The sequence below is a fragment of the Homo sapiens genome, chromosome 8 (genome assembly GCF_000001405.40).
Source record: "Homo sapiens chromosome 8, GRCh38.p14 Primary Assembly".
Taxonomy (NCBI): Eukaryota; Metazoa; Chordata; class Mammalia; order Primates; family Hominidae; genus Homo; species Homo sapiens.
In genome coordinates this window covers 119,717,051-119,735,529 of record NC_000008.11, presented here as the reverse complement: position 1 = coordinate 119,735,529, position 18,479 = coordinate 119,717,051, and the positions used below count along the sequence as shown (strand labels likewise).

The 18,479-nt window shown below is 38.8% G+C and overlaps 1 protein-coding gene across 8 annotated transcripts in view; it reads left to right on the top strand.

Annotated features, from left to right (window-relative positions):
- Nucleotides 1-4,756, top strand: part of TAF2 (TATA-box binding protein associated factor 2) — a 102,068-nt gene extending 97,312 nt beyond the window's left edge. For all 8 annotated transcript variants that reach the window (NM_001437339.1, NM_001438084.1, NM_003184.4 and 5 more), the window contains one exon: nucleotides 3,344-4,756. In NM_001437339.1, coding sequence (NP_001424268.1) covers nucleotides 3,344-3,606 — 263 coding nt within the window. In that variant the 3' untranslated portion in view covers nucleotides 3,607-4,756. The remainder of the gene's footprint in view (nucleotides 1-3,343) is intronic.

The window sequence follows — 18,479 nt, the reverse complement described above, 5'->3', positions numbered from 1 at the left end:
TTTGTTCACGTGTTCTAAAATATTGGAGCAGTGCCTGACAAAGAGGAAGTACAGGAGTCAAATACCACTTGAATGGATGAGCTATAATAGTTTTTGTGCATTATTCTTCTCTCCTCAAAATCAGTGACCTTCAAGTTATATTTAGTTGGACTAAGTTCACCTGACATTTAAAAAGAAACACAACTGTATAATTCTGTTATAGTCATTCATTCATTCATTTAGCAAGCTTTGTTAGAGGGGGCGGGGTAGGGGATGATAGATACTGTGCTATATGTTGGGACACAAAGACGAAAAAGACAAACTTCCTGTCCTCAAGAGGCTATCAGTTTAATGGAAGAGACTCAAAGACAAAAGAAATACAGCAGTCCATCTTGGGGTAGATGAACACTGTAGCATCGTGGTTAAGAGTAAGACTCTGGAGTCAGGCTCTTTAGATTTGTGCCTCAGACCTGCCAGTACCACCTTGGGCAAATTACTTAAATCTCTCTTTGACTTAATTCCCTTATCTGTATTATGCTGTGGAAACATGAACGAACCAGTTCCTTTGGGAAATTTGAAGAAAACCGTCCAAAGAAACATTTGAATTAGGTTTTAAATTATTGAAGAAACTAAGATGTTCTTTGTTTCCTTATTTCTTCCTTTAGGTTGCAGCTTAACCATTACTTTCCTGGAGAACTTTGCTTCTCTAATCCCCCTCTTCCCCCAACTAATTTAAGTGCCCTGTTGTGCTCCTGTTTCACTTTATGTTTTGCCTTTTTATTACTCAGGTTCACTTACTCAATTTATTTCTTCTTTGCTAGTCTGTAAGCTCCTAGGAGGGATGAGGGCTGATATCTGTCTAGTTTATCAATATTTTCCCCAGTCCCAATATAGTTTCTGATGTTTATTAAATGAGTGTATCAGTTAGACAAGAAATAAGGAAAGAAGGACATCCCAAGCATAGGGAATAGCATTTAGAAATACACAGTGTTATGAAAGGTTTAGCCTAGAGTAGTATATAGAAAGGAAGAATGGAAGGCTGGAAAGGTAACTTCAGGACAGATTATGAACTGTCAATAAATAAAATTAGTACTGCAATGTAATTTTTAGAAAGCTTCTGTGGTGATGTCTGTTTTGGTGAAAACCATGATTTGGGGGCTGGTTTGGATCAAACTTAGTGATGAGAAATTTACTTTTTTAAAAAAAGAAACTACATTGAAATCTATTTTAGTGAAAAGCCTTTTCTTTTTTCTTAGCTAGTTTGGATTAATATATATAATATATTTTTTCAGAAATTCCTTCACTGAAGTCCAAGGAGTTTATCTTTTGTACTGTCAGTAGAACCAACCGGGTTTTTAAGCAGATAAAAAGCAGCTTTGTTTAGGAAGACCACGATGCAGCAGGGTTTCCCAGCCTGGACACTGTTGACATTTTAGGCATAATTCGTTGTTGGGGGTATAGGGGTGTCTTGTGCATTTTAAGATGTTTGCCAGCATCTCTGGCCTCTACTCGTAGGATGTCAGTAACAAAATGTCTCTGAACATTGCCAAGTAACCCTTTGGGGGCAAAATCACCCCTGGTGTTCTGAGAACCACTGCTGTGAACTACATATACATTAGACACTTAATCCATAAGATACTTCAGGCAGAGAAACCTTAGTGACTAGGAGGAGACTAGTACCTAGTATCTATAATACTAGTACCCATAATCCAGATGAGGTGAGGTGGTCTGAATTAATACAGTTGCAGACAGGATTAGGATGGGGGGGGGCGGATTTAAGAGATATTTATGAGAATCAACAATATTTGGTAACCACGTATCTCTGGAAGGGAGGGAATCTGAAATGAATCTTAGGCTTAAGTTGGCTGCATGTAAAGCAATACCATTAACCTATAAATATAGAGAGAGATTTGTTTCTCAGAGTATGGCCCAAGGATTATAGGCCTGTGGGTCTGGAGGAAAAAGCAAATCTGTACACTAGAGTTGGAGAACTACTGTTATAGATTCCTAGACGGATAGAATGTTAAAACTGTAGAGAACCTTTGAGGACATTTGATCTAGATTTTTAGATGATGAACTAGACCCAGAGAGATGAAGTATAGCTAAAGGCTAACAGGACAACCTAGTCTAGAGTATGGGCCTTCTAATTCTGTTTCTTTCTTTGTACTGACACTACTCTCATCTGTGTAGAGAGACAGATGTTCCCTTTATAGACTCCCCACCTTTTCTGGGTTTCTTAAGCTGTGCATTCTGAATCTTCTTAGAGTTCATTTGTCTATCCCTAGAAATTGTCTTAAGGAGCTATACAAATGTTTGATTTTCACTGAGATACCATTATCAGTAGCTAGAATAGCATGTTTATGGGTATATCAGTTGTTCTCCAGATGGCACAAAGAAAATAGAGTCATCCTTTGGTATACGCAGAGGGGATTAGTTCCAAGATCCCTCCCTGGTATACGAAAATCCATGCATACTCAAGTCCTGCAGTCAGCCCATATGAAAAACCAGCTCTTCTATCTATATGCAGGTTTTGCATCCTTCAAATCTGTATTTTCAATCTGTGTTTGGTTAAAAAAAAAAGTTCACATATAAATGGGCTCACGCAGTTCAAACCCATGTTGTTCAAGGGTCAACTGTACTGTCATCTTCCCCTCCCCCATACCTTAGAGCAATTGAGTGAGTTATGTAATTGAGTGAGTTATGTTTTCATTGACCAATGTTGGTCGTTTTTTGTTTGTTTGTTTATTAAGATGGAGTCTCACTCTATCACCCAGGCTGGAGTGCAGTGACACGATCTCAGCTCACTGCAACCTCGGCCTCCCAGGTTCAAGTGATTCTCCTACCTCAGCCTCCCAAGTACCTGGGATTACAGGCACCCGCCACCATGCCCGGCTAATTTTTGTATTTTTGGTAAAGATGGAGTTTGACCACGTTGGCCAGGCTGGTTTCGAACTCCTGACCTCAAGTGATCTACCCGCCTTGGCCTCCCAAAGTGCTGGGATTACAGGAGTGAGCCACCGCCCCCGGACCCAGTGTGGGTCTTAACCTATAACACCGTGTGTAATATTGTTTTTTCATAATACTTAGAAAATATTAATTTTTAAAAGATGATTTGGTAACACACTGGTATATGGCCAAATTTGTATAGACTATAAGGAACTATATATTCAACTTCCTGGCCACAATGCTGAAAAACTCTGTGTGTAACTAATTACATGTCTTATTTAGATACTTCTCCCATTCCTGATAGAAGTGATAAAAACTTAGGAATCCCTCTTTACATACTGTCATCAGCTTCCTCTTTCTTTAGTCTGGCTTTCCGTATCATCAGCAGGAATTCATTTGGGTATTTTTAATCTTGAAGGTAAAGAACAAGCACCTTTGGAGATGAGTATGCATCCAGCGGCAAGCGCTCCACTCTCAGTCTTTACTAAGGAATCTACAGCCTCCAAACACAGTGACCACCATCACCACCATCACCATGAGCACAAGAAAAAGAAGAAGAAGCATAAACATAAGCACAAACACAAGCATAAGCATGACAGTAAAGAAAAGGACAAGGAGCCTTTCACTTTCTCCAGCCCTGCCAGTGGCAGGTCTATTCGTTCTCCTTCCCTTTCAGACTGAGAAGGGGACAAAAAGACCTTTCCTTTCATGTCCAGAAGAATGTATGTAACTAAAGCTTTGTCCTCTGTGAAGAATTATAAAAGGGAGGGGGGAAAGGATTCGCCTCTCCTACAGAAATTCTGAATTCATTTAAGTTCTAAGCATTTGATTTATGTTATTTATACAGTTGGGATCTAATTAGGAAAATGTGTTTTGTAGTTCTGGATAAACTATTTCATCCGCTGTTTCCTCCCCAAAACACACACACAGAGCAAACTCCCTTTCATAAAAGCCCTCATATCCACTGGCAGTCCCCGTTCGCATCATGGTCTCCATGTGTACCGCCAAAGTCAATTATGTTTGAAAGCCTTTGGTGGATGTTATGGGGCAAAGTTATGATTTACACAGAAGCAACTGCCAAATCTGTGGTGCAACCACTATCTCCAGTGAAATATTGTATAACACCATTTGGAACTACTGAAAAGACAGTGGCTTTTCTACAGTACTCTTCCTTATTGCACCATTTTTGTATTAACGTAGAAACTAAGCATCAGAATTTATGAACAAAGAATATGTTATTTTTCCTTTTGCTCTAAAATACTGAGATTTGGGGAAGCAATTCTTTTTTAAAAAAATTTTGAATAACTATCTTTTGATAACACATTCGGCGGTTACGATGTTGGAATTTAGCAGAACTATCAAATCCAAAATTATTTTCAAATCAAGATGTTTAAATTATAAGTTTTTTTGTTTTGTTTTCCAGTAAGTATAAATGAAAATATTCATATGTAAAATATGTTTTGCTTAATGTGGACAATTTACACACCCAACACATACTGTTTCCAAAATTATTTCTATATGACACAAAGTATGATACCTTTAAAAAGGTGAGCTTATATATTGTTTATTAACCTGGAAATAGACAATTTGGCTCTCATACCATAAGCATTTAAAAACATATGAAATATTTTGATTTCTTTATATGGTGGTGTGTTTTTATTTCTGAATTTTCCATGTGCTTTAATATTTGTTTAAGAATATTTTTTATATCTGTTCAATTTTTATCATTCCCCTTATCATTAGAAAGTTTGACAAAAATACTTGAATCTTGGACCTCTAAATATACTTTTAGTTGTGTTTAACTTGTTTAATAAATAACTTTTTAAGTTGATCATTCTGTCTTTGTAGCTTTTTATATTTTGTGTTACCTTCTTGTGTGTGTATATATAATAAACCTGTCCACATAGTTTGCAGAGAGCTTTGTGAATAGGTGGGATTTTTAGCTGGCCTCACTAGGAGGAATGATTTCAGTAGGCTGAGATGGGGTAAAGTTCTCTCAGCAGAAGAAACAGTATCTTCAAAGGTATGTAGGAAAGCAAGGGTGTATTCAGGAATTAGAAGGCTGTGCAGTTGGCCTGGAGTATAAGTGCAAAGGGAATATTATCAGATGTTGAAGGGCCTAAATGACAGTTATTTAAAGTTTCAATTAATTGAATGTTGTCCAACTGAAATTATTTTTGGAAAATAGGATATTTTAGAGTGTATAGTGATACCATATATAGAATTCCCAACTTTGAAAATTCAAAGCACACATTTCAAAATAATTACTTGTGTTATAGGAAGACATTGATAAATAATAGCTAGCTATTATAATTCAGGCACCTCTTGTATGCTAGACATTGTACCAGGAACCTTATGTATATTATTTCTTTATCAGATGTTTATATTAGATGTTTCTTCCAGGGAACTTCTTTTTATGGTGAACTCTTGATTATTTATGCTTCTGGTTGGGAGCAGACAACGCAAAAGGTATTTTATTCACATTTTTGAAATAGATAATTAAACACAATGCAGTTTCAGTCTAAGTCTCCCAGTCTCCTTTCCCAGAGGCAGTAATTTTTGACAGTATTATATATATCTTTCCAGCACATGTCTATATATATATTTCCATGTATTTTTACAGTATGTACAGATTTTTTAAAACAAGCAGTAGCATATAATACAGACTTGCAGAAATTGTTTTTTTTTAAATTATGCTTTATCTTTTATGGCTTTTGCATATTATGTCATAGTTACTAAGATCTTCCTCATTCTACAATTATATAATAATTCACTTTTTTGGAATGTTCTTAAAATTTTATGTTTCAGGTTTACGTTCTTCATCCAACTTGAATCCATCTGCAGTTTATTTTAACAAAAAAATAGGGGTTCAACTTTTTTTTTCCTTCTATTTAATTTTTTTTTTTTTTTTTTGGTAGAGACAGGGTCTCACCGTGTTGCCCAGGCTGGTCTTGAACTTCTGGCCACAAGCCGTCCTCCCACCTCAACCTCCCAAAGCATTGGGATTACAGGCATGAACCACCACACCCAGCCTTGTCTGAACATATTTTTTAAGTTCCCTTTTAATTTCTTCATTGACTCATTGGTAGTTCATGCGTTCAAGAGCATGTTGTTTAATTCCCATATACTTATGAATTTTCTGAAGTTCTCGTTTTGACTTCTAGTTTCATAATTGTGGTCAGAAAAATATGATTTCAAGTAGAATTTTCAGAATTTTGAAATGAACTGAAATTTAATTGAATTGACAGAAATCAAGAAGATTTCAGTCTTCTTAAATTTGCTGAAGCTTGTTTTGTGCCCTAACATGTTAGATTCTGGAGAATGGTTCATATGTGCTCCAGAAGAATGTATACTCTGTTGCTGTTGGATTGAATGTTTTGTATATGTCTGTTAGGTACATTTGGTCTAAAGTGTTAAAGTTCAGTGTTTCCTTGTTACATGTCTGAATGATCTGTCCATTGTTGAAAGTGGGGTATTGAAGGCTCCTTCAGTATCTCCTGCAATATTGTATTGCAGTCTATCTCTCCTTCAGATCCTTTAATATTTCTCTTATATATAGTATTAAGATGCTTTGAGGTTGAGTGCATATATGTTTACAATTGTAATACCCTCTGAATGAATTGGTCCTTTTGTCATTGTGTCCTTTGCCTCTTTTTTATAGTTTTTGGCTTAAATTCTATATTGTCTGATATGATTTTTCATGTCACCCTGATATGCATACTATTTGGACTATTTTTATCATCAAAGTATGGTTTTCTTAACAATTATATATTATTCTAGAAATTTTATTACTACTTAAAAATCAGGGCTTAAAAGTATTCTTACTGTGCCGGGCGTAGTGGCTTACGCCTGTAATCCCAGCACTTTGGGAGGCTGAGGCGGGCAGATCACAAGGTCAGGAGTTTGAGACCAGCCTGACCAACATGGTGAAACCCCGTCTCTACTAAAAATACAAAAATTAGCCGAGCATGGTGGCCCGTGCCTGTAATCCCAGCTCCTCAGGAGGCTGAGGCAGGAAAATCGCTTGAACCCGGGAGGCAGAGGTTACAGTGAGCCGAGATTGTGCCACTGCACTCTGGCCTGGGCGACAGAGCGAAGAGCGAGACTCCATCTCAAGATGTGTGTGTGTGTGTGTGTGTGTGTGTGTGTGTGTGTATGTGTATATTTTTTACTGTTTAGTAAAATGACACATAATTAATGAGACCTCCTTTGTTCATCATACTAGAATATTGTGGCCTTATAAAATTTCCGAGCAACTGCTGTTCCATATGCAAATTTTTTAACTTATTATCTGTGTAACTTAACCACAGTAATTGAATGCCAATCCACTCAGCATTGCTTCTTCCTGAAACAAACTCACTTTACTTGGTTTAGCCCAGTAATCTCTAAACATTTTTGGTTTTTTATTCCATTTATTTTCTTTAAAAAATGAATGTACATATCTAATGTATGTATATTTATTATATGTAAGTATATATGTATTAATATAGTATGTTCGTTATAAAGTATATGTAAGGCTGAGCATGGTGGCTCATGCCTGTAATTCCAGCACCTTGGGAGGCTGAGGTGGGAGGACGGCTGATGCCAGGAGTTCAATATCAGCCTGGGCAACATAGCAAGACCCCATTTCTACAAAAAAATGAAAATGAAATTAACCAGGCATGGTGGCATGAGCCTATAGTCTCAGCTACTCAGGAGACTGAGGTGGGAGGTTTGCTTGTGCTCAGGAGTTTGAGGTTGTAGTGAGCTATGATCATGCCAGTGCATTCCATTCTGGGCGACAGCACAAGAGCCAGTCTTTAAAAAATTTTATTTTTTTCTTGAGACAGAGTCTCGCTCTGTTGCCCAGGATGGCGTACAGTGGCATGATCTCAGCTCACTGCATCCTCTACCTCCCGGAGTCAAGCAATTCTTGTACATCAGCCTCCCGAGTAGCTGGGACTACAGGCATGCACCACTATGCCCAACTAATTTTTGTATTTATAGTAGAGACAGGATTTTTCACCATGTTGGCCAGGCTGGTTTCAAACTCCTGACCTCAGGTGATCCACCCGCCTCAGCCTCCCAAAGTGCTGGGATTACAGGCGTGAGCCACTGGGCCTGGCAAAAAAAAAAATTTTTTTTTTAAATATTTTTCATTTTCATTTATTTACTTTTGAGGCAGGGTCTTCGTTTGTCACCCAGGCTGAAGTACAGTAGCACAAGCACAGCTCACTGCAGCCTTGACCTCCTGGGCTCAAGCGGTCCTCCCACCTCAGCAACCCAAGTAGCTGGGACTACAGGTGCTACTTGGCTAATTTGTATTTGTATTCACACTTGGCTAATTTGTATTTTTGTATTTTTTTGTAGAGATGGGGTTTCGCCATGTTGTCCATGATCTCGAACTCCTGAGCTCAAGCGATCCACCCACCTCGGCCTCCCAGAATGCTAGGATTACAGGTGTGAGCCACAGTGCCCAGTGAAATAATAATTAAAAAAAAAAAAAGTGTCAGAAAGGATAGGATAAAGATGAAGTATTAGGTTGGTGCAAACATAATTGTGGTTTTTGCATTACTTTCAATGGCAAAAACCACAAATACATTTGTACCAACCTAATAAATTATTTGTTAATGTCCTGCAGTTTGTGATAGCTTCATACTAAGTACTGAATTTATGAAGCCCCAGTGTAGACTTAGTTCAAGGTTCATTAGTAACAAGAGTTTGTCAATTCATATTTCAAATTATTTTAATTTTTTTTTTGCTTTTTTTCCTCAAATCTGACTAGGAGATTTATCTTGTAATATTTAAATACTTTTTATGCATTAACTTACCATTTATCTTGCAATATTTAAGTACTTTTTATGCATTAACTTACCATTTGTCTTGAAATATTTAAGTACTTTTTATGCATTAACTATTTAATTTTAGGCCAGGCACGGTGGCTCACACCTATAATGCCAGCACTTTGGAAGGCTGAGGCAGGCAGATCACCTGAGCTCGAGAGTTTGAGACCAGCTTGGCCAACATGGAGAAACCACATCTCTACTAAAAATACAAAATTAGCCAGGTGTGGTGGTGCATGCCTGTAATCCCAGCTTCTCAGGAGGCTGAGGCAGGAGAACTGCTTGAACTCGGGAAGCAGAGGTTGCAGTGAGCCAAGATCATGCCATTGCACTCAAGCCTGGGCAACAAGAGCGAAACTCCATCTCAAAAAAAAAAAAAAAAATTTAATTTTAGCAACAGCCATATGAGGTAGGTATTATGATAAAGAATTTGAGGCACAGGAAAGTTAAGCCAAAGGTCATACAGCTTGTATGTGATAGCATTTGGATTCAAACCCAAGGGCCTGGCTCTATTTGTGTCTCCTAGATGTGTGCTGTCCAATGTGGTAGCCACTAGCCTACGTGGCTGTTTAAATAATTATATTTTTAAAATAAAACTTTAGCCCACTTGGCTATATTTTAAGTGTTCAGAAACCAGATAAGCCTAGTGACTATCGGCGTTGGATAGTGCCAATCTAGAACACTTCCAGCATCACAGTAAGTTCTATTGAATTAATTGGTTACCATGTTTTATCTTTTAATGTAGCTTTGGAAGAGCTCATCCTATGAAATGAGCATTAGTTTAACTTTTTTCAGTTGTTTGTCCATGCATGCATGATTGTTATTGTTTTCAATCCACTGTTTGTAGGAATCTTTGAAATACTGTTGTCTATTTTGTAGTGTTTAATTAAAACAGATGATACAGACCAGACATGGTGGCTCATGCCTGTAATCCCAGCACTGTGGGAGGCCGAGGCGGGCGGATCACTTGAAGTCAGGAGAGACCAGCCTGGCCAACATGGCAAAACCCATCCCTACTAAAAATTCAAAAATTAGCTGGGCATGGTGGCATGAGCCTGTAGTCCCAGCTACTCAGGAGGCTGAGGCAGGAGAATCACTTGAACCTGGGAGGTGGAGGTTGCAAGTGAGCCAAGATCGCACCACTGCACTCCAGCCTGGGTGACAGAGTGAGACTCTTAAAAAAAAAAAAAAAAAGTAGATGATAGGCCAAGTGCAGTGGCTCATGCCTGTACTCCCAGCACTTTCCAAGGCCAAGGCAGGAGGATTGCTTGAGTCCAGGAGTTCAAGACAAGTCTGGGCAACATAGAGACTCCTTGTCTCTACAAAAAGTTTTTAAAAAATTAGCCAAGCATGAGGCACATGCTGTGGTCCCGGCTACTTGGGAGGCTGAGGTGGGAGGATTGCTTGAGCCTGGGAGATCAAGGCTGTAGAGAGCTATGATCATGCCACTGCACTATAATTAATTCATTAATTAAATGTAAATATTAAAACCCAGATGATATCTATAAGTTTATTTAGCTAGACACATAAACTGCAATATGCCAAATACTGGAATAATATTAAAATCCAGATGATATCTATAAGTTTATTTAGCTAGACACATAAACTGCAATATGCCAAATACTGGAATGGGTGAGAGCACCACTGTCACCAACCCCTTGATACTGGAAAATACCTAAAGTAAATAAATGAATGAAAAAAATGTAAATAGTAAAAAGAAAAACCAGATATCTTTGAGTTCATTTAGCTGGACACATATAAACTGCAATATGCAAAATAAAAAATGGGTGAGAACACTGTCACCAACCCCTTGATACTGGGAAATACATAGTCTGATGCATGATTCAGGTGAGAACCTCAGTGTCAATTTTCAGAAATAAAGCAGAGGTTCTATTATAGTCTCCCTTTGTCTCCTGGATGCTTCTCGGAGGTCACTATTCTAAATCCTTTTCCTTACATTCCTGACGTATTTATTTCCCTCTTCAGTGTTTTGCCATTTTATCATTTGTCTGTCTTCATCTTTGCAAAGGAATAAGCAAATCTTCTAGCAAGCCCAGCAGAACTATTGCTCAGCAGGGGAACGGAAATCTTATAGGAACACAGATGTTTACTATGTGGAATACAGGGCCAGGAGACAATACAGAAAGGATGAAAATAGTTCTTCAAGTTGCTTTGTTTGATTTCCTTAAAATATTGTCTTGGTTGTTTCTGTGATCAGGTAAAATTCTTTGTAATGGTTTTTGCAAACATATTTTCTGCATATAGTGCCACATTTTCTGCACCATTTTCATTAGAACTTAAAAAATTTTATGCATTTATAAAAATTGCATTTTACTTGATTTTATTGAACAAGATAAGACCTGATATCTATCTGTTCATGTATGTGAGACAACAGAATGGAGGTAAATGTAGTTTCTTGTGCAAGTACTTTTCTAACAGCCTTGCAGTTTTGTATGTTTGTGTTAAAGTGAAAGATGGCAGGAAACTAATAGATGTCATGATGTCATGACTTCTAAGACAATGCTGTCCTTTTTGTTTTTTTTTTTTTTTGAGGCAAGGTCTTTGCTTTGCTCCCCAGGCTGGAATGCAGTGGCACAAACACGGCTCACTGCAGCCTTGACCTCTCCAGCTCAAGGGATCCTCCTGCCTCAGCCTCCCAAGTAGCTAACACTACAGGTGCCTGGCATCACACCTGGCTAATTTTTTGTATTTTTTGTAGAGGTGGGATTTTGCCATGTTGCCCAGGCTGGTCTCAAACTCCTGGGCTCAAGCAATCTGCCCTCTTCGGCCTCCTAAAGTGCTAGGATTCCAGGCATGAGCCACCATGCCCAACAATGTTGTGCTTTTCAATGAGAGCACAATTGGGCATTTTAAATTGCCTTAAGACAATCTCATTTTATATTTTTCAAGGAAACTGGCTTAGGTATTTTGTGTAGAACTGTCCCACACTTTACTGGACAATTAACATCTCTGGTCTGGTCCCTGCCCACCAATCATCATTAACATGTCCAGTGATTAGACAACCATAAACTCCTCACCTGTCTTCAAATGCCCCTCCTAGTGATGGGTACTGCTCAAGTTGAGAAATACCGGGCTAACCACATTCCCTTCCGACTCTCATTACTGTCCCTCAGCTTTTAATACAGAGGATTATACTGTTATAAAATTGGATTAAACATTTTCATTCCAAAAAACAAAGTCCTTCTGTTTCTAATAATAGCTTTGATTCATAAGCATTCACCGTGTGCCTGTGCTGTGCTACACGCTTCACACCATATTCTCATATGCTTATTGTACCAGGTCAAATGAGTGCCAGCATCCTCATTTTACAGACAAGAAAACTCTCAAGTGCACCATATGTGATTAAAATTTATCACCCAATATTTATTGAGTACATTCTATGTGCATGATACTGAGATAAATTCAGAACAAGGTAGGCAGATTTTGTCCTCAAGGAGCTTGAAGTTGCACAGCTAAGTGGAAAGGCCAAAATTTTAACCCAGGTCTGTCATTTCTAAAACAGCATACTGCCTCCTATTTCTACCACTACCTCCACCTAAATTATCTTGAAGAAAAACTTAGCCAAATTAATCATAATTGATGAACTGTAAATAGATTTAGAAGAAGACATCTACCACTATGCAGTAATTTTTCTAGTCTTTCCCCTCCTCGGGGCTGCTGGAGTCTATATATAAACAGGCCCCTCTAGAGTAGCACAGTGCATTCCCTGAGTGGCCATAAATAAGAAAGAGCCCAGTCTCTGCCTAGAATACTTTCTCCACTCTCAGCGTCATGCTTTGCCTAGAGACCACTCAAATACCTGCTCTGACACATGAGTTTTTCAGCTTCTAACCAACCAGCCATCATTTCTTCCTCCCTCCATCCCTCTCTTTTTCCTCCTTCCCGGCTCCCATTTTTCCTTCCTTCATTCCCTCCACTCATGCATATGATATTTTGGAATGCCCACTGTTTTTCCATGTTCTAGGAAAATGATAAAATATTCAATAAAACATACAGTCCCTTTCCTCAAGGATCGTACCACTCAGAATTAACCCTCTCACTCCTTTTTCACTGTATGTATAACTCTCATAGTATTCACCATAGTGTGTCTTTCAGTGCTTTTACCATGATATTTGTTTGGAACATTAGATTAACACTGATGTGTATTGACTTGAGTGACATCCTTATCTTGTTTGGTGTGATAACTATAAGTTTGCATGCTAGTGTATAAGCTGATAAGCAGGGTTTTGTACAGCAGACAATTTGATAAAATATTTTATTTTCCTTCTCTCAAACATTGAAGAGCAGCCTCTAGAGGCCTTTTTTGATTTTTGAACAAGGATATCTAGTTGCCTATACCAGATATTCTATGTAATATGCATATTAGATATTAAGAATACAGTAGAAAAAAAGAGCAAAAGGCTCAGCAAATTGGGTAGATCAAAAAGGTTGAAAAAATGTTATTATTTCTCAAGATAAACTTTTACCCCAAAACATGTTACTTGAATGTGTGAGTGCTCTTTTCCATTCAATTATGAGTCACCGAGGACAGGGGTCATGTCATTAGCCTGTTTATGATGTTTATTCTGTCTTCACCATCTGGTGCCACTGCCAGTCACTGTTTGCACTTTTGAACTGAATATGAAAGCAGAAGGTGACTTTTATCAGCCAGAGGAGTAAACAATGTTGTGGAGAGATCATGGCTCTGGAAAACAGGAAACCTGTGTTCTATGCCCAAGTCCGTGAGCACTCAGTGCTGTGTCCTGAATAGATTACTCAGCCTCACTAGAGCCAGTTTCCTTGAAAAATATAAAACAAGATTGTCTTAAAGTTTCTTGCTAGTTGCCAAACTCTTGTGATTATTCCTTTGACACTAGGTAGTAAGTACATAGACAAGACTACATGTTGCATAAGAAAATCTAGGTTATAAAGTCCTTATTTCAGGACTTCAATATAGACAGCCTTGATTGTTTTTATTTGAGTTTTGTTAAAAGACATATTTTAGCTGCAGACCACCTTCCTATACTCTGAGCATAGGCACAAGGTACTGTGTAGTTAGATATATGAACATGAACACTTCCAATTAACTGTAAACCGTTTTTTCTTACCTCTTTGGACAGGTCCATTTTCCCCCCAGGATCAATTCACAATGATGTTCATCTGCTGCTGAGTGGCTTTTAGAACTTTTACAGACTCCAGAGTCATCAAGGCTCACACCCTAAATGCCTGCTGAGTGGCAGATCCTGTGGAGAATATAGCCCCTGCCTGCAAGGAGGCTAGGTTCTAGTAGTAGAGTTAAGATGTATACGTAAGTGGCAATCATGGGAACTTGAATCTGTAGTCTAATCTTAAACTGATCGTAAGGAATGAGAGACTTCAAACAAAACCATGAGGGATGAAGAGGGAAGCCTTGCCAAGTTCTCTGCTCCAATTATAAATATGCTCTAGAATTTCTAGTGAAGATTTTTCATTGCACACCTCTTGAAACTCTTGGATCCTGCCTGCAATCCTATACCAGAGAACCTTCTTGTCCTTGAAATCCAGTGCCCAGAAAGTGAATCCAGGACTCAGAGAACAATGCCAAGACTGACCCTGTGAATCCCAGGTGCTAATCTGTCCATACCAAATGAGAAAAATTAGGATAAGGGAGTGAGATTTTGATAAAACTCATTCCACTTAAATAGTGCTGTTTACCTTGAAAAATATTTCATCCTCCTTGCTTGGTGTTAAGAAGTCCTTTTATGAAGTTATGTCAGTGGTAGGTGGTTGGATGGTTGGTCATTATGATGATGTATGTATCTTGACATACATTATGACTTTAATGTTCCTACTTGGCAAGGTCAAAGTTGATCATATTGATTTTATTTTTTTAAATATTTTTGAGATGGAGTCTCCCTCTGTCACCCAGGCTGAAGTGCAATGGCTCAGTCTCAGTTCACCGCAACCTCCGCCTCCCAGGTTTAAGTAAATTCTCCTGCCTTAGCCTCCCAAGTAGCTGGGATTACAGGCATCTGCCACCACGCCCAGCTACAAAGTTGATCATCTTCAAATTGCCCAAGTCTAGCAACTAATGCTATCAGGCTTTGTAGACATAGCTGATGTCTTCATGGAGCTTATCTTCTGTTTTTTTTTTACCCTCTGGGAAGAAGTAATACTCTGCCCATTGTATGGTTGAGCATGGAAGACAGAAAATAATAAGATTTTCTGGAGGCCAAAGGTAAAGCAAAAACAGCTCATGGAAGGGGTTGGTGGTAAAGTTATGACCACAACCATATTACTGGAGTGATAATCTTGGACAAGAAAAATACTTTCTTTTTTTAGAAGCCAGGAATTAGTGGAGACCCCAAGAAAATGAGTAAAATCAGTAATACTCTGCTCATTGTATGGTTGAGCAAACAGACTTGGAACCCTGTGTTCTACATTTTCTATTAATGTAATACAGGCTTTTCCTGGCATTGATTAAAAATCTGCTCTCCAGACACCTCTGTACACAGTAATGATATCCATAGAGTTATTCTATATGAAGTCACCAACTCACATGTTTCTCACACCTTGCAAATGCGGAGCTAAGTCCTTTCATGCAGTGGTGGGCATGAAGGGAGGCATCATTCTCTAAATGTTGTGGTTTTCATTAGTAATGGTAAGTTTTTTTAAGTGAAAAGTAGAGATGTCTATTTTTCTGGCAAAAGCTTCTAACATCTTTAGAATATCTTGCTTTGAAGGGACAGTTCACACATCAGGTTTTGATTATCATTCAGTTATTTTCCAGTCTGAGAGGAGCCAAGTATTGTCCTGAAAGGTCAATATTCCATTTTCATGATTAATTGAACGATTGTGCTTCATGGCTATTTTTCTGTTAAATACAGTTTTCTCTTAAATACAGATTTTTTTTTTTTGCCTGGTGATTCAGAAGACTTAGCCCCAGAGTTGGCCATTTGTCCACTTCTTATTGCCCTAATTCAGCTGCAGGGGCTCCAGCTGAGCCATACTTTAGTATATTTATGAAGGAAAAAATGTGTGAATCTTAAGTAAAGTGTAAAAAGAGGAACTCAGGAACAATGGAACCCTTTAACAGCCTCTACCCAGAGGTCCTAATGAATTTTTATATTATTAATTTTATATTATCTAATTTGGTTTTAGAGTCCACAGGACTGCCTTTGACTCTTGTCTTTCTTGAATAGAAACCACGTGATTCAGGGTAAGTTGTTTAACCTCTTCATTTGCAGAAGAAAAGAGCTAATATTTATTGGCAGTGGATGAGGACATGATCTGTGTTAAAAGCCTGGCATGAATGCTGTCAATTCTCACAATGCCATGAGGTAACGTAGGAGACACTGTTTAGATGCTTACCAACAATATTCATTCTTCCCTCCCTTGCTTACAGAACCCCAATTTTGTGTGGGTAAAATGTGGCTCCTACATACTTCCAGTTTGGGTGGCTGTATATGATAGTACTGGCTATGGAGACATAAGCAGAAATCTGCTGGGGTTCTGCCTTGACTTTCCCAATCAAAAGAGGGCTCCTGGAGCCTGGTAAGCAATTCTGCTCCTCTTGCTGCCCTAAACACTGACATGATGCCCGAGATGCATCTGCTATCTTGTGCTCCCAAAGAAAGGGCAGAAGGAATCATAGATACCATCCCTGACACTGTTGAAATGCTAAACCAACATTTACAGTCACTATTCTCCAGAATTTTGATTATGTAAGAAAAATAAACTCTTATTTGTTTACACCACTATTGTTACAGGAAAGGGGTCCCAATCCAGACCCCCAGAGAGGGTTCTTGGACCTCATGCAAGAAAGAATTCAGGGTGCGTCCATAAAGTGAAAGCAAGTTTATTAAGAAAGTAAAGGAATAAAAGAATGGCTACTCCATAGAGAGAGCAGCCCTGAGGGCTGCTGGTTGCTCGGTTTTATGGTTATTTCTTGATTATATGCTAAACAAGGGGTGGACTATTCATGCCTCCCCTTTTTAGACAATATAGGGTAACTTCCTGATGTTGCCATGGCATTTGTAAACTGTCATGGCGCTGGTGGGAGTGTAGCAGTGGGGTCAACCAGAGGTCACTCTCTGGTCCTTGGTTTTGGTGGGTTTTGGCCAGCTTCTTTACCGTGACCTGTTTTATCAGCAAGATCTTGGTGACCTGTATCTTTTGCTGACCTCCTGTCTCATCCTGTGGCTTAGAGTGCCTTAACCATCTGGGAATGCAGCCCAGTAGGACTCAGCCTCATTTTACCCAGCTCCTATTCAAGATGGTTCACACACCTTTGACACTTTGGCCAGGTGTTCGTTTACTTGTAGCTGAACACATTCCTAGCTGCTACAGGAATTACCCATCGCCAGATGAAGAAACTGAGGCCCAGAGATTTTAAATAATTTGTCTGATTGACACAGCAGGTCAGTGATGGAATTGGATGTCAGCCCCACAAGGCTGACTTCAGATCCTGCATTATTAACCACTTACCTTGTGTTGTTTGGTAGGATGAAATGAAATTACTTCTATAAAGCACTTTGGCATTAGCATGATGTCTGGCATGTGGTACATGCTTATTAAACTGTTAAGACCTTTCCCACAGTCACAGCTTTGTGTTAGTGCTTAACAATGTGTTTCCCATGGGAAACAATGAGATGCAAACCAGAGCTGTCCATGCTTAAACAATCCAGCTTAATGGCTATAGTAGGTGCTCAGTATGTTTGCTGAGTGAGTAAATGAGTAATTCTCTTAAATAAAGAAAATTTTCTAAGCATCACCCTTAGGAGGTTACTGTATGCATTTTTTATGAGGATGCTAAAATTTTGTTACGTATTAGGGTAGATCAGAAGTTCGGTGTGTGAACCCTAAATATCTGAGATAGGTCTCAATTAATTTAGAAAGTTTATTTTGCCAAGGTTGAGGACATGCACCCGTGATACAGCCTCAGGAGGTCCTTACGACATGTGCCTAAGGAGGTCAGAGCACAATTTGGTTTTATACATTTTAGGGAGACATGAGACATCAATCAACATATTAAGATGGAAATTGGTTCAGTCTGGAAAGGCAGGACAACTCGAAGCAAAGGCAGGAGAACTCAAGCTAAGTGGGAAAGGGGCTTCCAGGTCATGGGTAGAGAAGAGACAAATGGTTGCATTCTTTTGAGTTTCTGATTAGCCTCTCCAAGGGAGGCAATCAGATATGCCTTTATCTCAGTGAGCAGAGAGGTGACTTTGAATAGAATAGGAGGCAGGTTTTGCCCTAAGCAGTTCCCAGCTTGATCTTAGCTTAGTGATTTGGGGCGCCAAGATTTATTTTCCTTTCATAGGTGAAAGCTCTGGAAACGAGAGTAACTCGGGTTCAAATCTGGCCTCCACCACTGACTAAAGAACTGTGTGACATTGGACAAATAGCTTACCTCTCAATGCCCATTTCTTTATCTGTGAGATGGAGAAAATCATCTGAATTGCCTCATAGTAGTATTGTTAGAATTAATTTAAATAATACATTCAAAAATATTAAAAGGGATTGGCAAAGCACTTGATAAATGTTAGCTGTTATAACAATAATTATTAATTGTTTTCTCTTTTTTTTTTTTTTTTGAGATGGAGTCTTGCTCTGTGGCCCAGGCTGGAGTGCAGTGGCGTGATCTTGGCTCACTGCAACCTCCACCTCCCGGGTTCAAGCAGTTCTCTGCCTCAGCCTCCAGAGTAGCTGGGATTACAGGTGCCTGCCACCATGCCCGGCTAATTTTTTTTT